The sequence below is a fragment of the Homo sapiens genome, chromosome 22 (assembly GCF_000001405.40).
Source record: "Homo sapiens chromosome 22, GRCh38.p14 Primary Assembly".
Classification (NCBI taxonomy): Eukaryota; Metazoa; Chordata; class Mammalia; order Primates; family Hominidae; genus Homo; species Homo sapiens.
This window is the reverse complement of record NC_000022.11, coordinates 28,682,618-28,709,564: the sequence shown is the minus strand read 5'-3', so window position 1 is coordinate 28,709,564 and position 26,947 is coordinate 28,682,618. Positions and strand designations below refer to the sequence as shown.

General features: G+C 45.1%; 1 protein-coding gene across 24 annotated transcripts in view; it reads left to right on the top strand.

Annotated features, from left to right (window-relative positions):
• Positions 1-21,823, top strand: part of CHEK2 (checkpoint kinase 2) — a 54,093-nt gene extending 32,270 nt beyond the window's left edge. For 8 of the 24 annotated variants that reach the window (NM_007194.4, XM_011529839.3, XM_024452148.2 and 5 more), the window contains 8 exons: positions 5,999-6,060; positions 9,628-9,727; positions 12,578-12,664; positions 13,692-13,855; positions 14,323-14,438; positions 15,448-15,533; positions 20,350-20,430; positions 21,579-21,822. In NM_007194.4, coding sequence (NP_009125.1) covers positions 5,999-6,060; positions 9,628-9,727; positions 12,578-12,664; positions 13,692-13,855; positions 14,323-14,438; positions 15,448-15,533; positions 20,350-20,430; positions 21,579-21,668 — 786 coding nt within the window. In that variant the 3' untranslated portion in view covers positions 21,669-21,822. The other 16 variants (NM_001437942.1, NM_001349956.3, NM_001257387.3 and 13 more) reach the window with 7 other exon arrangements.

Below are 26,947 nucleotides of genomic sequence, written 5' to 3'. Positions count from 1 at the left end.
CATTCACACACATGCCTAGCTGTCATTTAGCTGGGAAGAGTTTTACCCCAAAATGTTACTGAGTGAACAATACCGTATAAAGATTTCATGATTAAATAAACAAATGATATTTCTTCTGAGTTAGTTCTTGACCAAAACATATAGCAATTATTCTATCTCATAGACACAACTGGTTATATTAGAGAAGACAGTGTTAATTTTAGTAAATTTGGTTTAGTTATACCTGAAGTTTTACCACTTTTGAATACCTTTTATTTGGAGTAATCCAAATAAATCCAAGGGTATCCATTAAGTATGACAACATCCTGTCCTTATATCTGATTAAATGGTGTCTGTGGCCTAGTTCTTATCTTTTTGTGCAATGATGACTATGTCTCAATGAAAAATGTGTCTCACTTTTAAAAAGTGAGAAGAAAAATTAGAGGGTGGGCTTAATCTTATCTTGCTTTTTTTTGTTTTTTTCCCGTTTCTTCCTTAATTCATAAGTGCCCATGAAGGCATAAGCTCATTAGGCAATGGCATTAAACTCAAGGCAAGATCTCTCTCCTGTCCAGCTAATGATGATCTTATTCTGGCATTTTTTTTGTTTGTTTTTTTTTTTTTTTTTTTTTTGAGACGGAGGCTCGCTCTGTCACCCAGGCTGGAGTACAGTGGCGCAATCTCGGCTCACTGCAAGCTCCACCTCCCGGGTTCACGCCATTCTCCTGTCTCAGCCTCCCGAGTAGCTGGGCACACCACCACGCCCGGCTAATTTTTTGTATTTTTAGTAGAGAGGGGGTTTCACCATGTTAGCCAGGATGGTCTCTATCTCCTGACCTCGTGATCCCCCCACCTCAGCCTCCCAAAGTGCTGGGATTACAGGCGTGAGCCACCGCGCCTGGCCTTATTCTGGCTTTTAACCTCGAAACAGCAAAAAGGTTTCTTCTCTCTTTTTCTACCTCTCCAAATCCCTCAAAAAAGTCAGTAGAAACTGAGGAGCAATTACTGTTGTTGACACAATACTTCAGCAGGTTCCTTTAGAACTCTGTGAGTGGACCTGAAAACCTATGAGAACCTGAGTGGCTGACCTTCCTGCTTGGCTTTCTTCTGTTTCTTTTGCAAATTATTCGTCCTCTCTGAATTTGCCAGGTCCTTTTTCCAAGAGATTTGGAGTCTCTCTTTAACACACACACACACACACACACACACACACACACACACATATTTTTAGAGACAGTCTGTCTCTGTTACCCAGGCTTCAGTGTAGTGGCACAATCATAGCTCACTGCAGCCTCAAACTCCTGGGACCAAGCGATACTCCTGCCTCAGCCTCCTGAGTAGCTGGGACTATAGGCATGTGCCACACCATACCCTGCTGGGAGAGAGGAGCCCTCCAATTTTCTGGGGTGGGGTTGCATCAGACCTACCCTTAAGATAAACACAAATGCGGTGGGCGCGGTGGCTCACGCCTGTAATCCCAGCACTTTGGGAAGCCGGGGCGGGTGGATCATGAGGTCAGGAGATCAAGACCATCCTGGCTAACACGGTGAAATCCCGTCTCTACTAAAAATACAAAAAAAAATTAGCCGGGCGTGGTGGCGGGTGCGTGTAGTCCCAGCTACTGGAGAGGCTGAGGCAGGAGAATGGCGTGAACCCGGGAGGCGGAGCTTGCAGTGAGCCGAGATTGTGCCACTGCACTCCAGCCTGGGCAACAGAGCGAGACTCCGTCTCACAAAAAAAAAAAAAAAAAAAAAAGATAAACACAAATGCTCAGGGAATTTTCTCTGATGTCAGATGATCTTCAAACATAACATTTGTACAAATCCGGTGTCCAGTGCAATAGAGAAGAATTCAAAACCCTAAAAAAGATTTCTAGACATATTTATTTGCATTTTACAAGGGCACAAGAAACTCTTGGGAATTAAACATGGGCCCATGAGTGCATTTTGATGCTTGGGGACAATAAGTAGAGTCTAGTGGCCAAGAGAGCCTGACCTTTGGAGTCAGAGATTGATGTGATTACTTTTCGAACACTTGTCATGCCAGTTGTCTTGTGGACCCCGGCAGTGGTAAGCACAGATATTGCTGTCCTTCCCTTCCCTCACTTTAGTGTGACTTTAGTGTGGAGGCAGAACTGGGTTCCTGTCTCAGTACTATCAAAGCAGCTGAGAAGTCGTTTGAGAAGTTCATTTTATTTATTGGAGCCCCCGTTTCCTCAGCTGTACAATGAAGACAATAAGAATACTTATGTCACAAGGTCAGTGTGAGAATTTAATGAGACGTACTCCTAAAGCTTTCAGTGCAGACAACACACTTGGAGAGTGACAGAGATCGTTAATTCCCTGAACTGCTTTCCCAGTATGACCTAAGTGGAAGGTGTGGGTTAGTAGCTTCTGATTCCTGGTAGAGAGACCCTTTTAGCTGTGACAGCCCCAGGCAGTGACCCTGGAGGTAGCGGACACTAGAGGAAGTAATTCACACTGGTTCTGACTATCGGACACCTCTTCATGCTCTGTTAGCTCCAGACCCCACCCATTTTCAGATAGGTACTGGCACTGCCCATTATGAAGCCAACCAGAACCAAGCAGTTCCCTTTTTCCTTCTCTCCGTTCCTTTTCTATATGTGTCTTTTCTTTTTGTTCTCCTTTATTTGTTTATTTATTTATGTATGAGATGGAGTCTCCGTCTGTTGCCCAGGCTGGAGTGCAGTGGCATGATCTCGGCTTACTGCAACCTCCGCCTCCAGGGTTCAAGTGATTCTGCCTCAGCCTCCTGACTAGCTGGGATTACAGGCGCCCACCACCAGGCTCAGCTAATTTTTGTATTTTTAGTAGAGATGGGGTTTTGCCATGTTGGCCAGGCTGGTCTCGAACTCCTGACCTCAGGTGATCTGCCTGCCTTGGCCTCCCAAAGTGCTGGGATTACAGACGTGAGCCACTGCTCCTGGCTTTATTCTCCTTTAAAAGGTACTTTTTACAGCCGTGCATGGTGGCTCATGCCTATAATCCCAGCACTTTGGGAAGCTGAGGTGGGAGGATTGCTTGAGCCCAGAAGGTTGAGACTGCAGTGAGCCATGATCACCCCATTGCACTTCAGCCTGGGCAGCAGAGTGAGACCCTGTCTCAAAAACAAAAGCAAAACAAAACAAAAAACACACAAAAAACCTGACCACATGACTCGAGCTACCTGTTTATGTTTTCCCCATCCTACCCAGAGGTAATGCCATTACCTTGAATGCTGTGTGTACTGTCCCTTTGTGTGTGTGTGTGTGTGTGTGTGTGTGTGTGAGCTGGAGTGTTGCTCTGTTGCCAGGCTAGAGCACACTGGTGTGATCTCGGCTTAGTGCAACCTCTCCCTCCCGGGTTCAGGTGGTTCTCCTGCCTCAGCCTCCTGAGCAGCTGGGACTACAGGTTCGTGCTACCACACTCAGCTAATTCAGATAATTTTTGTATTTTTAGTAGAGACAGGGTTTCACCATGTTGGCCAGGGTGGTCTTGATCTCTTGACCTGGTGATCTGCCCGCTTCAGCCTCCCAAAGGGCTGGGATTACAGGCGTGAGCCACTGTGCCTGGCCTGTCCCTTGCTTTAGTTTAGTTTAGTTTAGTTTAGTTTAGTTTTTAGTTTAGTTTAGTTTAGTTTTTTGAGACGGAGTTTCACTCTTGTTGCCCAGGCTAGAGTGCCATGGCGCGATTTAGGCTCACTGCAAACTCTGCCTCCCGGGTTCAAGCGATTCCCAGGTACAAGCGATTCTCCTGTCTCAGCCTCCCAAGTAGCTCGGATTACAGGCATGCACCACCACGCCCAGCTAATTTTTTTGTATTTAGTAGAGACAGGGTTTCACCATGTTAGTCAGGCTGGTCACGAACTCCTGACCTCAGGTGATCCACTTGCCTTGGCCTCCTAAAGTGCTGGGATTACAGGCATGTGCCACTGCGCCCGGCCCCTTGCTTTTTTAAAGCCACATATATGTGTATCCCTAAATAATATAGTTTTACTGCTTGTTTCTGAATCTTATAAAAATGATACAGATTGAGTGTCCCTTATCCAAAACGCCTGGGACCAGAGGTTTTTGGGTCTTGAATCTTTTTGGATTTTGGAACATTTGCATTGTACTTCCTGGTTGAATATTCCAGATCCAAAAATCTGAAATCCAAAATGCTCCAATGAGTATTTCCTTTGAGTGTTGTGTCAGCTCTCAAAAAGATTTTGGGCCGGGTGCAGTGGCTCACACCTGTAATCCCAACACTTTGGGAGGCTGAGGCGGGTGGATCACGAGGTCAGGAGTTCAAGACTGGCCCAGCCAAGATGGTGAAACCAAGTCTCTACTAAAAATACAAAAATTAGCCGGGTGCAGTGGCAGGCACTCATAATCCCAACTACTCGGGAGGCTGAGGCAGGAGAATGGCGTGAACCCGGGAGGCAGAGCTTGCAGTGAGCCGAGATCTCGCCACCGCACTCCAGCCTGGGTGACAGCGCAAGACTCCGTCTCAAAAAAAAAAAAAAAAAAGATTTGGATTTTGGGAGTATTCAGATTTTGTATTTTTGTATGTGGGATGCTCAACTTGTATCATACTCTTTGAAGTCTTTTCTGACTTGGCTTTTTCATTCAGCATTATGCTTCCAAGACCCATCTATGGTGGGAAAACTGGGCATTCATTCATTGCTATATAACAATTCATTGTGGGAAGGTTCCATTGGATGATCTTAATCAGAGTGATGAGTGATGAATATGATGAAATACACATTATGGGAAGATCAATCTGGCAAGTTTTACCACTCTTTTGAATCTAAAACCAAAAAATCTGATGACTCTTTTCTTTTTAATTCTGATATAACTACAGTCCTCCAATGTGCTGGGGTGTATGTCCCTGATGAATACTCACCAAATCTTTTATTTACCCACTGAGCTTAACTGTCTTCTGACTTCTGTATCGTAAAAACAATAGGTGTGCCCACCGGGCGTGGTGGCTCACTGCTGTAATCCCAACACTTTGGGAGGCTGAGGTGGGTGGATCACTTGAGGCCAGGAGTTCAAGACGAACCTGGCCAACATGGTGAAACCCTCTCTCTACTAAAAATACAAAAATTAGCTGGGTGTGGTGGTGCACGCCTGTAGTCCCAGCTACTCAGGAGGCTGAGGCAGGAGAATAGCTTGAACCCGGGAGGCGGAGGTTGCAGTGAGCTGAGATCATGCCACTGCACTTAAGCCTGAGCGACAAAGTGAGACTCTGTCTCAAAAAAAGAAAATGAGACTGTCTCAAAATAAAAAAAAAAGAAAGAAAAATTAAAAAAAAAATAGGTGTGCTAAGTATGAAGTCATGATATTGTATAGGCATTTTAAAATGTGCAGTATTCTCTTCCTTACCCTCAGTGTTCTCCATGCACCCTGCATTGATCAGTGGTCATGAACTATCAGCCATAGGTGTGTGTGTGTGTGTGTGTGTGTGTGTGTGTGTGTGTGTGTCTGTCTGTCTCTCTCTCTGCCCCCGACCCAAGTGTGTTTTAGAGTTCTTATAAAATTAGAATTTTCCTCTTCCTTTGAAAAATGGTAGGATCTTGTTCCATGGGGTCCAATTGCCTGGAGGTTCCAGTTGCCCAGAGCTTAAATAACCCTTGTTTGGCAGCATGGCTGGGCTCCTACTTGACAGCTTTTATTCATGCTACTTGTCAGTCTCCCTCAGGGTTCCTTAGGCTGTCCTTGAGTACCTCTGCTCTGGGGTAGTGAGGAAGAAGACTGGGAAGAGACCTAGCCTTCATTCCCAGGTAGCATCCTTGCATATGAAATATGAACTAGTCTCTCACCATCATGGTGGGGTGGAAAATTTCTTGCATGTTCTCACTGAGGAGTTGGCTAGATTCTGTCTGCCTTCTCCCCTGATTGAACTTCCAAGCCTCTGAGGCAGGGGGCCAGATGCCTGTTCTTGGCCTCCCTGTCCCTCTGGGCAGATGTTCTAAGCTCTTGTGGTTTTCCTCTTGGGAGTTTCTCACTACTTTCCCTTTTTTCTCCCCCTCTTCTTAGCCTTGCATCATCAAGATTAAAAACTTTTTTGATGCAGAAGATTATTATATTGTTTTGGAATTGTAAGTAGTAAACTTTTTAAAAATTTCTGTTTCCATTCAAATGCTTTATAAAGCCACCAAAGAATCTAATGTAGGCTTGCCTTTCTCATCCTGGGGGGCCTCAACGTATGTATGTAGTAGTGGGGCCCACAAAGTCTGTGTATAGGGGGTTAATATCAACCCAAAAAACCCTCCAATGTTTCCAAAAATAGGTGGTATGGGATTCCAGGTCCTGGATCTATGATCAGGACTTGAACTCCACTCTGCAGTTGACTAGCTGACCACCCATGGGTCAGTTTAACTCACTTTTCTGAGTCTCATCTTCATAGTGTTAAATGGGGATTATAATGAACCCCCACATGCAGAGTCCTTGTATGAATTAAATGCTATGAGGGATGGAAATCCCCCAGCAGAGCACCTGGCACATGTGTGTACTCACCATGGGGCAATATTGTTATAATTGGCTCACCATAACTGTGGGTTTTTACATCCGTGTATTCAACCAACCTCAGATCGAAAATACTTAGAAAAATAAAATGGATGGTTGTATCTGTACCAAACATGAACAAACATTTTTCTTGTTATTATTTTCTAAACAGTACTGTAGAACCACTATTTACATAACATTTACATTGTATTAGGTTTTGTAAGTATTTTAGAGATTATTTAAAGTATCCAGGGCCAGGTGCAGTGGCTTACGCCTGTAATCCCAGCACTTTGGGAGGCCGAGGTGGGTGGATCACCTGAGGTCAGGAGTTCGAGACCAGCCTGGCCAACATGATGAAACCCCATCTCTACTAAAAATACAAAAATTAGCCGAGTGTGGTGGCGCACACCTGTTACTTCAGCTACTCAGGAGGCTGAAGCAGGAGAATAGCTTGAACCCGGGAGGCAGAGGTTGCAGTGAGCTGAGATTGTGCCACTGTACTCCAGCCTGGGCCACAGAGTGAGACTCCATATCAAAAAATTAAAAAAAAAAAAAAAAAAAGGCCGGGCGCAGTGGCTCACATCTGTAATCCCAGCACTTAGGGAGGCCAAGGCGGGCGGATCACAAGGTCAGGAGATCGAGGCCATCCTGGCTAACACGGTGAAACCCTGTCTCTACTAAAAATACAAAAAATTAGCTGGGTGTGGTGGTGGGCTCCTGTAGTCCCAGCTACTCGGGAGGCTGAGGCAGGAGAATGGCGTGAACCCAGGAGGCGGAGCTTGCAATGAGCTGAGATCGCGCCACTGCATTCCAGCCTGGGTGACAGAGCGAGACTCCGTTTCAAAAAAAATTAAAAAAAAAAAAATAGAGAAAGAAAGTATACAGGATACAGCCTGGGCAATATGGTGAAACCCCATCTGTACAAAACACACACACACACACACACACACACACACACACACAGACACACACACACAAAATTAGCCGGGCATAGTGGCACGTGCCTGGAATCCCTGTGATTTAGGAGGCTGAGGTGGGAGGATCACCTGAGCTTGGGAAGTCAAGGCTGTAATGAGCTGAGATTGTGCCACTGCACTCCAGCCTGGACAATGGGAGTGAGACTCTGCCTCAAAAAAAAAAAAAATAGTATATGGGATGATATACATAGATTATATGCAAATCTTACGCCATTTTATATAAAGGGCTTGAGCATAATGGATTTTGGTCTCTGAGAGAGCTCCTGGAACCAATTCCCCATGGATACTGAGGGACAGCTCTACTCTGAAATATCTACCTGGGTAGGACTTTCTATGCGGGTCCTTTCAATCCAGGACCAGGTTGCATGGTGGCACCTGAGTATCTTTCAGTGTCTTGGTAGTTTATTTCAGTGGCGATAATGTCTTGTGTTATTTGGTGTAATCAGAATAACTTCCTGTCTCATTTCTGGAAGATGCCTGTCTTGATATCTGCTCCTGCATAAATATTAAGTGTTTCTGGGAGCAGCTATTGTGGCAGGCACAGAATGCTTTGCTCCTGGTTGGCAAATCGTATCTATGCAGGGTGATCATTAAGACTGTATAGACAACAGGCTGGGTGTGGTGGCTCACACCTGTAATCCCAGGACTTTGAGAGGCTGAGGTGGGCGGATCCCTTGAGGCCAGGAGTTCAAGACCAGCCTGGCCAACATGGCAAAACCCCGTCTCTACTAAAAATACAAAAATTAGCCAGGCATGGTGGCATGTGCTTGTAGTCCCAGCTCCTTGGGTGGCTGAGGCGTGGAGAATCGCTTGAACCTGGGAGGCGGAGGTTGTAGTGAGCCGTGATGGACAGAGCAAGACTGTCTCAAAAAACATAAGAAAAAAGAAAAAAGACTATGGTAAAAACACCCCTGATCACCCCTGATCACAGCACTGGGAGAGCCTGGAGCCCCTTGTGGATCTGCTGCTATCAAATAGGAGATTGTTACCTGACTGAATCCAGTTAACACAGTTAATAAAAGTGATAATACAGAGCCGGGCACGGTGGCTCACGCCTGTAATCCCAGCACTTTGAGAGGCCGAGGGGAGCAGATCACCTGAGGTCAGGAGTTCGAGACCAGCCTGACCAACATGGAGAAACCGCATCTCTACTAAAAATACAAAATTAGCCGGGCATGATGGTGAATGCCTGTAATCCCAGCTACTTGGGAGGCTGAGGCAGGAGAATCGCTTGAACCTGGGAGGTGGAGGTTGCGGTGAGCCAAGATTGCGCCATTGCATTCCAGCCTGGGCAATAAGAGCGAAACTCTGTCTCAAAATAAATAAATAAATAAAGGAATAACCTTGCCAAGCACCTGTGCCAGGAGCTTTTCCTACATCAGCCATCTCTTAATTTTTATAACAACCATCAAGGTAGATGGTATCATCCCCATTTTTTAAGTGGTAGAAACAAGCTGAGAGAGGTTAAATAGCTTTCCCAAAGTCCAAAAGCTGGGAAATGGTAGAGTTAGGGTTCAGATCCTGGTTGTCTGTTTGTAAAATTCTGTTTGCTCTTCTACATCAGTCTCAGAATCATCTGTGGTGTGTGATAAAAATGCAAACTCCTGACTGGGTGCGGTGGCTTATGCCTGTAATCCCAGCACTTTTGGGAGGGCAAAGTGGGCAGATCACTTGAGGCCAGGAATTTGAGACCAACCTGGCCAACATGGCAAAACCTTGTCTCTACTAAAAAAAATACAACAATTAGCCGGGCATGGTGGTGCATACCTGTAATCCCAGCTACTTGGGAGGCTAAGGCATGAGAATCACTTGAACCTGGGAAGCGGAGGTTGCAGTGAGCCAAGATCGCACCACTGCACTCCAACCTGGGTGACAGAGCGAGGCTCTGTCTCAAAAAAAAAAAAAAAAAAGCAACTCCTGGGCCCCACTTCCAAGCTACTGAATTGGATTTTTTAAAGTTCCCCAGGTGCCTCCAATGCCCAATCCTTTCATCTCATTCCTTAGTTTCCAACTGGGACATCTGATTGTGAATAAACCTTATTAGTTTTAAAAATGAGAGTCAAAAGTGAATAAAAATGTCAACTGTTTGCTTGTCTTAATGAATTTGTTTTGTTGTTTTATTGTCTTCTGTCCAAGTGCGTTTTCCCCCAGGAATGAACCCCTTGCCTTGCCTTTGTGTTTCAGGATGGAAGGGGGAGAGCTGTTTGACAAAGTGGTGGGGAATAAACGCCTGAAAGAAGCTACCTGCAAGCTCTATTTTTACCAGATGCTCTTGGCTGTGCAGGTAAAAGAAGCCCTCAATTCTTTTGACAGCTGCCTTTCTTTTAGTTGAATTACTCCCTGAATTAGGCAGAAATCGAGGGACCGTGGATTAAAACTCAGAAGAGAATCTGTGTGTTTGCTGTTCTCTTCTTGGCAAAAATGTCCTACTCCTTTCACTGAGATGAAAAAGCTCTCACTGGCGAGGCGCGGTGGTTCATGCCCATAATCCCAGCATTTTGGGAGGCCAAGCGGGCGGATCACGAGGTCAAGAGATCAAAACCATCCTGACCAACATAGTGAAACCCCATCTCTACTAAAAATACAAAAATTAGCTGGGTGTAGTGTTGCGTGCCTGTAGTCCCAGCTACTCGGGAGGCTGAGGCAGGAGAATCACTTGAACTGGGAGGTGGAGGTTGCAGTGTGCTGAGATCATGCCACTGTGCTCCAGCCTGGGGACAGAGTGAGACTCCATCTCAAAAAAAAAAAAAAAAAAAAAAGAAAAAGCTCTCACTGTGTAGCTTAAGAGAAAGTAAGAAAGGGAATTAAAGAAATAAATAGACCAGGCATAGTGGCTCACGCCTGTAGTCCCAGCACTTTGAGAGGCCAAGGCAGGAGGATCACTTGAGCCCAAGAGTTTAAGACCAGCCTGGGCAATATAATGGGACCCCCATCTCTACAAAAAATAAAAATAGCCAGGCATGGTGGCGGGCACCTGTGGTCTTAGCCACTCTGGAGGCTGAGTTGGGAGGACGGCTTGAGCCTGGGAGGTTGAGGCTACAGTGAGCCACAGTCATGCCACTGCGCTCCAGTCTAGGCAACAGAATGATGCTCTGTCTTTAAAAAAAGAGATAACATGGCCCTATGTCGCCTATCTTTAGCTTGGAGGTATTTCTGGAGGGGTCTTGATCATTAGTTCTTTAGTTCTGCTTGATCCTTGTAGAAGTCTCTCTTAACTCAGAGTGGGAGCTGGGCAGGTTTGAGGGCAGAGCTGCAAGTTGTGATGATTGTGACAGATGGGTTGGTCCCCCATGGCTCAGAACTAGGTGTTTCCCTTCAGGTGCAGCATCCTGTTCGCTGCAGTGGGCGGGCCGGCAGGGAATGCACATAGCCATCTCTATTCAGTAGGTGTTAGATGAAAGAATAGCTGGTGGCACTTGCTTTGAGGAACATCACCATTTCCCAGACCAAATGTGGTTGTGGCCATTCCCTTCCAGTCTCTTCTTGAAAACCCACTCCTTGCAGGAAATGCAGTGATTGGGAGCAATCCTTGTACAGAGTGAGGATCGAGAGAAATTTTTTTATGATTGATCTACCTAGGTTTGCCCTCCCTGGAGGTTTCACCAGATCCATTTCCCAGTAAAGATTTTGCAAAAAATTTTTGTTCTAACCCAGAGGGACATCCAGAGAAGATTGAAGCCCATAAACACAAGCCTTTTAAATTTATTTTTATTTGTTTATTTTTTTTGAGATGATGTCTCACTGTGTCGCCCAGGCTGGAGTCCAATGGCACGATCTCGGCTCACTACAACCTCCACCTCGGGTTCAAGTGATTCTCCTGCCTCAGCCTACCCAGTAGCTGGGATTACAGGTGCCTGCCACCATGTCCAGCTAATTTTTTTTTTTTTTTTTTTAGTAAAGATAGGGTTTCACCATGTTGGCCAGGCTGTTCTGAAACTCCTGACCTCAAACTATCCGCCTGCCTTGAGCTCCCAAAGTGCTAGGATTACAGGCATGAGCCACCGTGCCCGCCCACAAGCCTTTTTAAAAAAAAAATTTAATTTTAATTTTAATTTTTGTGGGCACATAGTAGGTGTACATGTTTATGGGGTACAACGCAAGCCCTTTTTAATGGTAGCTGTCACCTACTCAGTGTATTGCTCCCTTATTGGTTTATTCCATTTATTTATATTGAGTAACCAAGAATATTAACATGAATTGAGTACAGTTTGTGGATATGTGAAAATTTTGTTTCCTAAAAAAATATGGCCAGGCAGGGTGGCTGATGCCTGTAATCCCAGCACTTTGGGAGGCTGAGGTGGGAAGGTCACTTTAGCCCAAGAGTTCCAGACCAGCTTGGGCAACATTGTGAGATCCCGTCTCTACAAAAAAATAAAGAAGTTAGCTGGTTGAAGTGGCATGCTTTGTGCCTATGGTCCTAGCTACTCATGAGGCTGAGGTGGGAGGATCACTTGAGCTGAGGAGGTTGAGGCTGTAGTGAGCTAAGATGGTGCCACTGCACTTCAGCCTGGGGGACAGAGTGAGACCTTGTTTCAAGAAAAAAAAAAAAGAGAAAAGAAAAGAAAAGAAATATGGCATAGTATGTTGGTGTTTGTTCATTTTTATATGCTATTTCAGACAATAGTTTTTTCAAAGACAAAGTCTTTGCATTGAGGAATAGGTTAACTCACATAAACAGATATATATTTGTATCACATAAATAGATATTTACAAATATATATTTGTATAGGTTCCCTTTAAAAATATTCTCAGGACTGCAATAACCAAATATATCATTTTGGTGGAATTTTTGTGTTTATTTGGTATGTTCTCAAAACATTTTCTGTTACCCATTTGAATTTTTATTGAAATTGACACCTTACATTTCTGCTGTGTGAAGAGTTGTTTATTATCTTAAAGTGAAATGAAAGGTTAATTGTTCTAAGTTGCTTTTTTCATTTCCCTGCTTTTTAAAGATCTTCTCAAACAAATTTGTAAACTTTACCCCAACAGTTTTCTATGATTTTGGAGAATATGGTTGTGTGTATCACGGCTTACGGTTTCACCCAGCTGTGAGATGTGTGTGTTGGTAACTTTGATTCTACTTAAGTATCTACTGCATGAATCTGAGGGTCATGCCTGCCTTTCTGTGTAGTACCTTCATGAAAACGGTATTATACACCGTGACTTAAAGCCAGAGAATGTTTTACTGTCATCTCAAGAAGAGGACTGTCTTATAAAGGTAAGAAATTGGCATTCTGTATGTGGCTATTCCTGTAGATTCTTGTTCAGAAACTTTTAATTCCTCAAATAAAAAGTGGGAGCGTAAAAAGGATGAGAATCTGACCCTTTCACTGTTACCAATTATTTTAGAGATCAGGTGATACTGCTCTTATCCAGATTCGAATGAGCATTTATTGAGCTCTGTTGTGTACAAGTGACCTTTGTGCTTAGAGAGAGAGGAGGGGTCTAAATGGACGAGTGGGCTGGGTATGGTGGCTCACACCTGTAATCCCAGCACTTTGGGAGGCCGAGGTGGGCAGATCACCTGAGGTCAGGAGTTTGAGACCAACCTGGCCAACATGGCAAAAAATACAAAAATTTAGCTGGGCATGGTGGTGGGTGTCTGTAATCCCAGCTACTTGGGAGGCTGAGACACGAGAATCACTTGAACCTGGGAGGCAGAAGTTGCAGTGAGCTGAGATCGCACCACTGCACTCCAGCCTGTGCAAAAGGGCCAGACATCATCTCAGAATAGGTGAATGAATGAATGAGTAATCACATGCGCTGCCTTTCCCTGTTTCTCAAGTCTGGCATCACTTTAGAATCTCTTGTTAGGATTTATGACACCCAGGCTTTACCTCAGAAGCTGAGAGTGGCACTCAGGTATAAGCATGTGTTTCCAAGCTCCCCAGGTATTCCATAGCGCAGCCAAGTTTGAGACACTGGGGTCTAAGAACCATGTAGAACTAATTAGAATCCTGAAGTGTCTGTGATAAAGATAATAAGCTTTTTGTAAGATTACAGAGGACATAGGTTAAGTTGGAAAGCCTGAGTGTTGAGATTCCTAGGCTCAGGAATTTTAATTTAAGCAAAATTAAATGTCCTAACTTGCAAAGACATGAATCTGTAAATTCCAGATTAATGGCAGGTGTGAATTGTACAATAGAAACTGATCTAGCCTACGTGTCTTCTTGGACTGGCAGACTATGTTAATCTTTTTATTTTATGGCAAGTTCAACATTATTCCCTTTTGTACTGAATTTTAGATTACTGATTTTGGGCACTCCAAGATTTTGGGAGAGACCTCTCTCATGAGAACCTTATGTGGAACCCCCACCTACTTGGCGCCTGAAGTTCTTGTTTCTGTTGGGACTGCTGGGTATAACCGTGCTGTGGACTGCTGGAGTTTAGGAGTTATTCTTTTTATCTGGTAAGAAATATTTTCATTGCTGCACAGACTGGTAGGAGGTGATTAGATGAAGTCACAAATGTGTCTTGCTCTGTTGTCCAGGCTGGCATGCAGTGGCTTGATCTTGGCTAACTGTAGCCTCTGCCTCCTGGGTCAAGTGATCCTCCCACCTCAGCCTCCCGAGTAGCTGGGACTACAGATGCACACCACCATGCCCAGCTAATTTTTCTATTTTTTGTAGTGATGGGGTTTTGCCATGTTGCCCAGGCTGGTCTCGAACTCCTGGGCTCAAGTGATCCTCCTGCCTCGGCCTCCCAAAGTGCTGGGATTACAAGCCTAAGGCATTGTGCCCAGCCTAGCTCACTTTTTGACCATTGATTTAAAGAAAAATCTGACTTTTCATTATGCTGAAAAAGAAATCTTTATATCTGAATGCCACTGAGAATGCCACTTGATTTCTTTTCCTTTCTCTCTCTACCAATATTAAGCCTTAGTGGGTATCCACCTTTCTCTGAGCATAGGACTCAAGTGTCACTGAAGGATCAGATCACCAGTGGAAAATACAACTTCATTCCTGAAGTCTGGGCAGAAGTCTCAGAGAAAGGTATGAATATGAAAGGGTTAAGAATTTGTGGTATGCTAAAATGTGTATGTGCTGTGGTGGGAGTTTCTTCCCAAATTCCATGGTGTTTTCTCCTGTCAATTCTGTTCTTATTTTCTATTGTTAGTTTCACACCATTTGAGAGGCACTGGAAATTATTAAGAGCATGCACTCAGGTCCTGGGTCTGCTACTACTTAGCTGTGTGGCCTTAGGCAAGTTATTTAACCTCCATCTCCAATTTCTTTCTGTGTAAAGGGACCCTCAATAAACCCTACCTTAAAAGGTTTTTGTGAGGGTTAAGTATCATGTACACAAGTGCCTGGTACCTATTTTAGTGAGCAAAATAAATGCACTTGTAACTTTTTAGTTACAAGGTTTCCTTTGAGTAAGCAAGCATGTAAAAACTAGATGTCATTAGTTACCTTGTATTTTATAATTTATCCTGGCAACTTTAGTTCCCTGAAGAGAAAGTAGAAAATTAAATGTCAAATAACATAACATAGGTGATTGTGTTAAATGTCAGAATATTTAAGGAATAATAATGTTGTAATATACAGGCCAGCGTGCATTTGTTGCTTGCTGGAGTAGCCAAGTTTTATTTCTGACAAGTCTGCAGTTCCAGGGAGCCTCTCCCTCGCTGAGTAACTGTCACCTATCCATCTGTAGATGTCAGAGAGAGTTTGCTGTGCATCCCAAGTATCTTAGAATTGGGTAGAAGTTTAGCTTTAATTAGTCCGACCTTGAGTCTAGCAACAAGAGAGGGAACAGGCAGTGAAGAGGTCGTGACTGACGTCCCAGCAGCAGGAGACAGGGAGTGTCATTATCATTCCTGGTCTTCTCACAGTACTCTGAATACAGAGAGTGAGGAAGATTAGGGGGCCCTGTCTGCTGACTCCGTGATGATCTCAGACCCTCTCTGCTCTTTCTGAATGGTGGCCTGTTAATTCTGGCATACTCTTACTGATAATATATTTATCCTTTTCACTGTGATTTGCCCAATTGTTGCTTTAGCTCTGGACCTTGTCAAGAAGTTGTTGGTAGTGGATCCAAAGGCACGTTTTACGACAGAAGAAGCCTTAAGACACCCGTGGCTTCAGGTGGGTGTGGGACAGTGCCTGCTAGCATAAAATACATGGGAAGCCCTGCTGCCTGAGAGACATGAGACAGAGGACAGAAACATGTTTACTTTGTTGAGTGTTTAATCTAATTGTTTTAGATGTATGGGGGGTATCTTGGAGGATGGGTTACAACCTGTTTTATTTTTTTTTTTGAGACAGGTTCTTGTTCTGTCACCCTGGCTGGAGTGCAGTGGCACGATCTCAGCTCACTGCAACCTCTGGCCCCCGGGTTCAAGTGATTCTCCTGCCTCAGCCTCCCAAGTAGCTGGGATTACAGGTGCATGCTGCCATGCCCAGCTACTTTTTGTATTTTTTGTAGAGATGGGGTTTCGCCGTGCTGGCCAGGCTACAACCTTTTTGATATTACTCATGGCTGTTGGATGTACACGCTCACTTTATGTCCTGTTCTGGTTCCACTTGGCTGCCCCGAGTCTCCTGTTTGGCCTGTGTTCTTTTGAGTGCTTGTTCTGGCTCTACCCCCAGCCATGTCCACTGCTCTTCATAGGTGGGGTGCATTCCAGCCATCTTCAACCTTAAATCAGGGAAGTGGGGGAGGGGGAGGAGGACAGCCTCCCTGGGGAGAATCCAGCTATTTCTCAAGCCCAAGTGACTGGGTATAAAGGGTCCCACTGCTTGTTCATTCAGGTGAGTAAATGTGTCCTTAATGAAGGCTGTCACCTGCACTTTTCATCTGTATTACCGCTGTGCTCCTGCTAGGGGTTGGGGCTGCCATTTTTAAATGCTGACCTCATCTGGAACTGCCAAGAGTTGGAAGTATGTTGTGGCTTTGCTGGGTTAATCTTTAGTTTTAGAATTAGCCACGGCATTGGGCAGGTTTTTCTGATAGATGTCTGGTCTTCTGTAATGAGCAGTTCCATTCAGCACAGACATGCCCCTTTCTATGAATTTTTTTTTGGTTTGTGTATTAGTCTGTTCTCACACTGCTATAAAGAACTGCCCAAGACTGGGTAATTTACAAAGAAAAGAGGTTTAACTGACTCACAGCTGCACATGGCTGGGGAGGCCTCAGGAAACTTATAATCATGGTGGAAGGGGAAGAAGGCATGTCTTAATGGCAGCAGGTGAGAGAGCTTGTGAAGGAAGTGAAGGGCGAAGATCCTCTTATGAAACTGTCAGATCTGGTGAGAACTCACTCACTATCACGAGAATAGCCTGGGGGAAACTGCCCCCATGAGCCAATCACCTCTCAACAGGTCCCTTTCTCAACACCTGGGGATTACAATTTGAGATGAGATTTGGGTAGGGACACAAAGCCAAACTGTATCAATCCGTTTTCTGTGGAGATGGGGGACAGAACTGGTAGCTTGAGCTAGAGGCTGTTACTTGAGCTAAATGCTGTTTCTCTGGGGATTACTGGTCCAGGAACTCCTTGGGCAGTCCAGCCTCCGACCCGTACTTCTGGGACTCTGGGAAGACTGTCCCTGTTCTCTGTTCCAATCCTCTACACCTAACAGTTTTGCTCAGGCCAGCTCAGGTTGAGAACAACAAAAACTTAAAACAAACAAACAAACAAACAAAAAAAGACATATATGTGTTTGGATGTTGCCCTGGAAACTACAGTCTCCCCAGAAGAAATCTGTCAGATGATTTAGCATTTAATAGACCACACAGATTTGAAACAGTGGGACCCTGGAGGAAAGGGGTTTGGAAACAAAGGGTGCCTTTGCATGTGGGGATTTTAATTTTGATGAAAAAGAGAAACATGTCTTTTGGCTCTTTTCATGTGTCCTAATAGGGAAACTCTTGGGTCTAAATGTAGAGGTACAGGAGCTGTGTTCATCTCTAACAAAAAATAGAGCTGGCCAGTTGAGCCTGGGAACAGGGTTTGCATCTGCCTGAAATTTATGAGCAAGCATAGCCTATCTTTCTTGTACTTTTTTGTGTCAAAGAAAACTTATTAACAACCAAGGAGAAGGTGAAGTTCAACTCTGTTGCAGGATCTCCCTGGAATACTCTTTTAGCCACCTTTTGTTTTTGCAGTGAAAGGAGGAATGAGCATTGAATGAAGACAAGGATGAAGACTGACCATCTAAAACATCTGTTAGTGATAGTTTGGGTTTTATTTTGGGAAAATTCAGTGTTTTTGAAAAAACCAAATGGTTTTGTGGGTCTGTCGCTGAACTGAGTGTTGGGAATGTGGATTCTGGTCTCTGTTTTGTCATTAACAGAGTGCCCAGTTTTGGGAGCATCCCTTACATCTACTCTCTGCCTCATATTTACTGCCTGAAATAGAGGATTTCTTCTGTTTACTTTCAAGGGATATTACAATTTAATTTTTATTTTATTTACTGTTGGAGACAAGGTCTTCTTCTGTTGCCTAAACTGGAGTGCACTGGTGCAATTATAGCTCACTGCAGCCTTGATCTCCTGGCCTTAAGGGATCCTCCCGCCTCAGCCTCACAAAGTGCTTGGATAATAGGCACGAGCCACTGTTCCTGGCTAATTTAATATTTTGGAATAATTGTAGACATCATGAAGAAAATCAATGTTTATTTATTTATTTCCTTTTTTGAGATGGAGTCTTGCTTTTGTCTACCAGGCTGGAGTGCAATGGTGTGATCTCAGCTCACTGCAACCTCTACCTCTGGGTTCAAGTGATTCTCCTGCATCAGCCTCCCAAGTGGCTGGGATTACAGGTGCCTGCCACCATCCCAGCTCATTTTTGTATTTTTAGTAGAGATGGGGTTTCACCATGTTGGTCAGACTGGTCTCGAACTCCTGACCTCAGGTTATCTACCCACCTTGGCCTCCCAAAGTGCTGGGATTCCAGGCATGAGCCACTGTGCCTGACCTGATTACTTGTTTTAAATACAGGCCTGATTAGGCTTGTGACCACTCTGTTTGGCTTCACTGAAGGGCTGCCAAGAGATGGACTTTTGAGAGTGACACTGCAAGATAATTGAGATCCTAAGTAAGGCCGTGAGAGGGTGCGGAGTAGAATCCAGATGAGCTTGCTGCTGTCAAATGGCAATGGGGAGCTACACTGAGAAACTCAAAACAGAGTGACCTCAAGTGATCTGCCCTGCCTTGGCCTCCCAAAGTGCTGGGATTACAGGCGTGAGCCACTGTGCCTGGTCCTTCTTTCCTTCTTTCTTTCTTCCTCCTTCCTTCCCCCTCCCCTCTCCTCCATTCCTTTCCCCTCCCTTCTTTCGTCCCCCCTCCCCTTTTTCCTTCCTTGCTTCTTTCCTTTCTTCCTTCCTCAGGGTCTTGCTCTCTCACCTAGGCTGGAGTGCAGTGGCATGATCACTGCACCATGACTTTCAGGCTCAAGTGATCCTCCTGCCCCAGCCTCCCAAGTAGCTGAGACTACAGGTGCATGCCACCATGTCTGGCTAATTTAAATTTTTTTTTTTTTTTTTTTGGAGACAGTGTTGTACTCTTTTGCCCAGGCTGGAGTGCAGTGGTGTGATCCTGGCTTACTGCAACCTCCGCCTCTTGAGTTCAAGCGATTCTCCTGCCTCAGCCTCCTGAGTAGCTGGGATTACAGGCGTGCACTACCATGCCCTGCTTATTTTGTATTTTTAGTAGAGAAGGGGTTTCACCATGTTAGCCAGGCTGATCTCAAACTTCCGACCTCAGGCGATTCGCCTGCCTTGGCCTCCCAAAGTGCTGGGATTACAGGCGTGAGCCTCCGTGCCTGGCCTAATTTTTAATTTTTTTTGTAGTGACGAAGTCCCACTATGTTGCCCAGGCTGGTCTCAAATTCCTGGCCTCAAGCAATTCTCCCACCTTGGCCTCCCAAAGTGCTGGGATTATAGGCATGAGCCACCATGCCCAACCTAGTGTTGTAAAATTTCCATATCCATCAAATTGCCAAATGGTGGAGGACTTTACTGTATCCTCTCCCTTTCCCCACTGTGGTATGCTTGGCTCAGTGGGAGGAGGGGCTGGAGTTGGGTGGGAAAGTACATGAGGCACTGGAATCAGATAACTCTGGGTCTGTATTCTGCACATGCCACCTGTGAGTGGCTGAGCTGGGCTTCTGGCCAGCACTCAAAGGCCACATTCCTAGTTATGGATGTTCCTTTCACCTTGCTGAAGATGGGGAGAGCTGCACCAGACCACCTCTCAGGGTTTCCTAATGCAAATCCTCGAACCCTGCAGAAGTGAGCATCCAGAGAGGTGGGAGCTACTCGCATACACACTGTCTGTGCCCTCCTCATCTCCTGCTCCTGCAGCATGAAACCCCTCACCTCCCGCTCCTGCAGCAGAAACAAAATACTTGGTTCTGTTTATTGTCTCCCTTTCTCATTAGACCTGAGCTCTGGGATACTGTGGGCTTAAGTACTTCTGAAAATTTGTATGGCATCTGCTGGGTGAATTTTCCTAGGGTGCTGGGCTGGTTGTTAGGACAGTCTGGGTGACTGGCCTCATTCATGGCAGGGGCAGCAGGTGGAGAGTGGTCCGGGAAGGATTTGAGGAGCTGCACGGAGTCAGGCCCAGCCTCTGGCCTCCTGATTGCCACCTTTCTCAGGATCTTGGATACTAATTAAGAAACTCTTGACTGCTGGAGGCTGTGATTGACCCACTGAGAGCTTTTAGGCATGTGGATGTGAGTCAGCCAGGATTGATGGAGCATTGACTGCTAATTAGACTCCTCTGGGAAGGTAGAGGCGGGCAACACATAATGCCTTCGCTGTGGGAGCTTCATCAAGGGGATGATTCTTGGACGGACATTTTTCCTCCCTCTTTCCACAGGGGCATGCTAGCCCTGTCATTCTAGGAGTTTATTATCCTTCAGACACAGCTACTTATGTTTTTAATTCCCTCACAGGATGAAGACATGAAGAGAAAGTTTCAAGATCTTCTGTCTGAGGAAAATGAATCCACAGCTCTACCCCAGGTTCTAGCCCAGGTATTCGTATTCCTGATGATCACTAAATGTAGTCTGGGCTTAAGGAGCTGATAAGCAAAGATGATGAAATTCAAGATTTTCCTGAGTAGCAATTGCTTAACATTGTTTCAGTTATAATGTAGTAGAAACTCTGTTTTAACTTGATTCGCTCCAGCACCCTTAGATTTAAAAATGCAGGATATGTTTAATATCTAACACATAATAGACCGATAAGCACAGCTAGGGATTGTCATCCAAAAGGTCACCTGCAAGGCAATTTCGAAAGACTCTATTAGAGGCTCAAATATAAATTTGTTGAACAAATTAAAATTTGGGTCAGTAGTTGATTCCTTGATTACAATTTTATTCTTTAAAGTTCTTTGTGAGTATAAGTTAATTCCAGTCCTGCTTTTTTGTTGTTGTTGTTGTTGTTGAATGGTAGCTGTCCTTTTTCCCACTGTTTCCTCCCCCCAATTTTTTTTTTCTTGAGACAGAGTCTTGGTTTGTCACTCAGGCCGGAGTGCAGTGGTGCAATCTCAGCTCACTGCAACCTCTGCCTCCTGGGTTCAAGCAGTTCTCCTGCCTCAGTCTCCCGAGTATCTGGGATTACAGGTGTCCGCCACTGTGCCCAGCTAATTTTTGAATTTTTAGGTGAGATGGGGTTTTGCCATGTTGGTCAGGCTTGTCTCGAACTTTTGACCTGAAGCGACCTGCCCACCTCGGCTTTCCAAAGTGCTGGGATTACAGCTGTGAGTCACCGCACCCAGCCTTCCTCCCAATTTTATATATGGGAAAACAACTAAGGCACAAAGGTTGTCTTCCCGCAAAAGACCAAGACTTGGGGCTTCAACTGAGAGGTATTATAGTCCTTTTAAACTTGATATTTAGAAGAGGACGATCAAGAGGAAGTTGGTTATGCTACTTGCTTTCAGTATACATCGTTCAGAGGTCAGAAGCCATAAGGGAGAGAAATATCTATTAGATAAGCATGTCTGAGTTGGGGGCTGTGGTGAGGACTCAGTTGTCAATGATGACAACCAGTAATTTTTGGTTCTAGAATTTCACATCAAATGCCCCCACTTTACTGGAAGCATATTGAGGAACTTTGATAATCTTAAAGAAGCCAGTGATTTTCTTTTGAACATTTCTCCATTTTCCTTTATTTTCAGCCTTCTACTAGTCGAAAGCGGCCCCGTGAAGGGGAAGCCGAGGGTGCCGAGACCACAAAGCGCCCAGCTGTGTGTGCTGCTGTGTTGTGAACTCCGTGGTTTGAACACGAAAGAAATGTACCTTCTTTCACTCTGTCATCTTTCTTTTCTTTGAGTCTGTTTTTTTATAGTTTGTATTTTAATTATGGGAATAATTGCTTTTTCACAGTCACTGATGTACAATTAAAAACCTGATGGAACCTGGGCTTTGTGCTTCTGCTTGATAATCGGTTCTTTAGTTGAATGGCTTTATTATTTATTTATTTGAGATGGAGTCTCACTCTGTTGCCCAGCCTGAATGAAGTGCAGTGGTGCAGGCTTGGCTCACTGCAACCTCTGCTTCCCAGGTTCAAGCGATTCTTGTGCCTCAGCCTCCTGAGTAGCTGGGATTACAGGTATGCACCACCATGCCTGTTAATTTTTATATATTTTGTAGAGACAGGGTTTTGCCATGTTGGCCAGCCTGGTCTTGAACTTCTGACCTCAGGTGATCTGTCTGCCTCAGTCTCTTAAAGTGCTGGGATTACACGCATGAGCCACTGAGCCTAGCCTGAATGGCTTTTTTATATTTAAAGTTGTGTGCCTTTCATCTGGAGCTACACCTTGGCTATCACTAGGCAGGTTTCCCAGGATGTCACCCTGGTCTCAGCCTGTGAGAGCTGAATACAAATTCTAAGGGCCCCTTGGAAAGTTCCAGGGAAGGGAGCATAGCGAGGTTGGGGGTGGAGTTTGTAGAGACTGGCTGGCTGGCTGCAGACATCTTCATGAGAACAGCAGGTACCTTGGTGCATGATAACAGGCCAGGTTATATTCTCATCCTCGCCCTCATAAAGATACAGGTCTACCGTCTCTGAAACCTTTGGGCTAGATAAGTTGTGAAATTTAATTATCCAATTTTAGGAAGGTGGTAAGGCATATCTACTATGTGTATGTGTAGCACCCCAGTGGAGTCCTACACATGTGGAGTCCTACCCCAGTGGAGACCAAACATGTTAATATTTCCACAGCAAATATTCACAGTAAGAGGGATAGAGAAAGATTATAGGTAGTTGCATATTGGTTCATATCAGTCTTTTCTTCCAAATGAGCTACAATGACTTGTTTTTGAGAGCTGTTTGGGTTTTGGAAGTGGAGATAAGGCATGTGGTTATGTCTTGTTGACCCAATAATGACCAGGGAGGCCCTGTGCAAAGACTTACCCTTGGCTGCTCTTGTCATCACAGTGATTCTATGAGTGAGGTCCTCTAGCCACTGTCATGTCACAGGTGAGGAAACCAAAGTTAGAAGAGGAAGGTAACTTTTCCGATGTTGCACAGCTGGTAAATGGCAGAGCTGGGACCCAACCCAGGTCTTTTTGACTCTAAAACTAATGTTCCTTATTGTCCACTAAATCTGCTTTTATAACTTTGCTTGGTTGATGCTAGGACACTTTGTAGCTCGCTGGCCATGCCATGAATTGAGTGCCATGGTTCAAAGGCCACTGGCGATTCTGTCAGGGCAGGGTCAAGGGCACACAGCCATTTCCTTAGGAAATGGGGGTGGTGGTTGGAAATTTCTATTAAAGGGTATATAAGCATTTTGAGACTTGGCTGGCCTGGTGTAGGGGGTTTGATGGGAATTTAGGTAGTTTGCATGTTTAAAGGAATGAGGCTGAGATTGCCAATTAGATGGGTTTTAGCTCATTTGAATATTTAATGTGGAGGCTGTGGTTTCCTGGGACATTTTTCCCACTGTGGAGAGTTAGCCAGCTTTTCTCTGTTTCTTTTTTTTTTTTTTCTTTTTTCTTTTTTTTATTAAATTGAGATGAAGTCTCATGCTTGTCGCCCAGGCTGGAGTGCAATGGTGTGATCTCGGCTCACTGTAACCTCCGCCTCCTGGGTTCAAGTGATTCTCCTGCCTCAGCCTCCCGAGTAGCTGGGATTACAGGCACCTGCCACCATGCCCAGCTAATTTTTGTATTTTTAGTAGAGATGGGGTTTCACCATGTTGGTCAGGCTGGTCTTGAACCCCTGACCTCAGGCAATCCACCCGCCTCCCTCCCAAAATGCTGGGATTAGAGGCATGAGCTACTGTGCCTGGCTGCCTTTCTCTGTTTCTAGAGCATTTTGTATTAACTCCCTCTCATGATATCTTCCATGGTAGGCTGAATAATGGCCCCTCCAAAGTGTCCTCATCTTAATTCCCAGAATCTTTGACTATGTTCCTTTCCATGACAAAAGGGACTTTGCAGATGTGATTAAGCATCTTGAGATGGGAGCTTATCCGATGTTGCCTGTGGGCCCAGTGTCCCATCACAGTGCTTTTTTTTTTTTTTTTTTGAGACGGAGTTTTTTGCTCTTGGTGCCCAGGCTGGAGTGCAATGGCGCAATCTCGGCTCACTGCAACTCCACCTCCCAAGGTTCAAGCGATTCTCCTGCTTAAGCCTCCCGAGTAGCTGGATTACAGGTGCTCGCCACCATGCCCAGCTAATTTTTGTTTTTTCAGTAGAGATGGGGTTTCACCATGTTGGTCAGGCTAGTCTCGAACTCCTGACCTTGTGATCTGCCCGCCTTGGCCTCCCAAAGTGCTGGGATTACAGGCATGAGCCATCACATCCAGCCCACAGTGCTCTTTTAAGAGGGACTCAGCAGTCAGGGAAGATGGCACTGTGATGATGACTGAGTGTCTTAGTCTTTTTTGTATTGCTACACGATATCTGAGACTAGGTAATTTATAAAGAACAGGTTTATTTCTTACAGTTCTGGAGGCTGGGAAGGTCAAGATCAAGGGGCCTGCTTCTGGTGAGGGTCTTCTTGCTGTGTCATCCCATGATGGAAGGCATCACATCAAGAGAGAAAGGGGGCTGAACTCAATCCTTTTATTAGGAACCCACCCCCATGATAATTAACCCTCTGCTGAGATAACATCATTACTCTATTAATGAGGGCAGATCTTTCATGACCTAATCACCTCTTAAAGGTCCCACCTCTCAACACTGTTGCATTAGAGATTAAATTTCCAGCACATGAACTTTGGGGGACACATTCAAACCACAGCACTGTGCAGAGACTGGAGTGGTGTGCTTTAAAAATGGAGGAAAGGGCCACAATCCAGGGAATATAGGTAACCACTAAAAGCAGAAAAAGGCAAGAAAATGGGTTTTCCCTTCAGAACCTCCTGAAGGAATCAGTCCTTTACAACTTGACTTTAGCCAAGTGAAACTGATTTGAGGCTTCTGACCTATAGAACAATAAGATATTAAGTCTGTGTTGTTGTAAGCCAATCAGTTTGTGGTAATTTGTTACAGCGGCCATAGGAAACTAATTGACTCACCAATGGGAGAAATCGGCTGCTGATTTAAAGCTACCCAGCAACTACTTCCTCTCCTAACCTCACTCTTAATTTTCTCTTGGAGGAATTCTTTTCCCTATCCCATTAAGTTATGGGAGATGGGGCCAGGCATGGTGGCTTAGCAATCCCAGCACTTTGGGAGGCTGAGGCGGGTGGATCACTTGAGGTCAGGAGTTTGAGACTAGCCTGGCCAACATAGTGAAACCCCATTTCTACTAAAAATACAAAAATTAGCCAGGCGTGGTGGTGGGCACCTGTAATCCCAGCTACTCCAGAGGCTGTGGCACGAGAATTACTTGAACCCAGGATGCAGAGGTTGCAGTGAGCTGAGATCACACCACTGCACTCCAGCCTGGGTGACAGAGTGAGAATCCATCTCAAAAAAAAAAAAAAAAAAGTTATGGGAGAGGATGGTAAAGCTAAGCATCTTTTGCACCTACCCCCCACCCCCACCACTGCAGAAGCTGAAGGGGTTCCTAGAGGCTTCTTCTGCTGTGGAGCTGTTCCCACTGGCCCCCCAGCTAGAGGTGGGTGTAGGACTTTGAAACATGAACAAATGGAGCTGGGATGGCAATGGCGAGAACAATATTGTGCTAATCCGAACTCTGCACTTCCTAACTTTGGCTCTGGGTAAATTACCTCAAATTGCTGAGCCTTTGTTTCCATATTTATAAAATGGGTGCAGTAAGAGTACCAACCTCTTCTACGCTGTTTGGAGGAGGCAGGTCCATAAAGTACCTGGCATGTGGTAAGGGATTCATGAATGTTGGCTTCTATCATTAAGGGTGGGGGAGCCACATAAGTAGCCAGAGGGAGTCATAGAAAGTTCTTAAGCCAGAGAAGTAAGATAATCTTTTCAGCTTTTTGTGCAGCATAAAAGGTGGTTAATTTGCTTGCCTTTGACCAAGCAAATTTGGGACGTGCCAGGCCTGGGGTGAATGGTGGGAACCCAGGTAGAGGGATATTTCTCATTGGCTGAATTAACTGTGACTCCGTTTTGCAGAGCAGCCAGGTTGCTTCATGGTGGACCTGCTGCATGCCTACATGATGGTGCCGTGGATAGCTCTTGTTTGTGCCAGCCCTGTACCTGATACCTCTTGTGGTAATTGCATCCCTATTTTTCAGAAGGAAGCATCCCTCTTCCCACTTTCTGGTTTTCCCCATGTCCTTCTGGAGGGGATGACCCCAACCGCTTCCTGAAGGGGCTTCATGAAAGCCAGGTCTGACCAGGCTGGATGTAGTGATTGGCTGAGGCAGGAGCATGTGGCCCAAATGGGTCCAGTGAAAGTCAGTCCTGGGACTTTGGCTGGAACTATTGGGGAACAGCCTCTGCTTTCTTGGGGAGATGTGACTTAGGAGCTGCTCAGGCCACTATGTGGAAAGAACTGCGTGAGAATGAAGTAATCAAAGGGAAGCAAGCACTGAGAGATTAGAGAGACTTATCTTGTATAAGTGCCTGTATCCAGCTATGCCTGAAGTGAGGTGCCACCCCAGGCCTTTTCAGTCATGCTATCAGTTTTGTTCCTTTTTTCTGTTTTACTCTTGGTGGAGTTATTTTTTTTTTTCTTTGTTACTTGAATAAGAAAAATACCAGACTAGAAGGCTGGGCGCGGTGGCTCACGCCTGTAATCCTAGTACTTTGGGAGGCCAAGGCAGGTGGATCACGAGGTCAGGAGTTTGAGATCAGCCTGACCAACATGGTGAAACCCCGTCTCTACCAAAAATACAAAAAAATTAGCTGGGTGTGGTGGTGCATGCCTTTAATCCCAGCTACTCAGGAGACTGAGGCAGGAGAATCGCTTGCACCTGGGAGGCAGAGGTTGCAGTGAGCCGAGATCGCGCCACTGCACTCCAGCCTGGGTGACAGAGCAAGACTCCATCTCAAAAACAAAAACAAAAAAAAAAAACCAAAAAAAAACAGACTAGTAAATGCAACCATTTACAAATACCAAGAGACTCTCGAAGATTCTTTTTGTTAGTAGGGAAAACATTTTCCATTT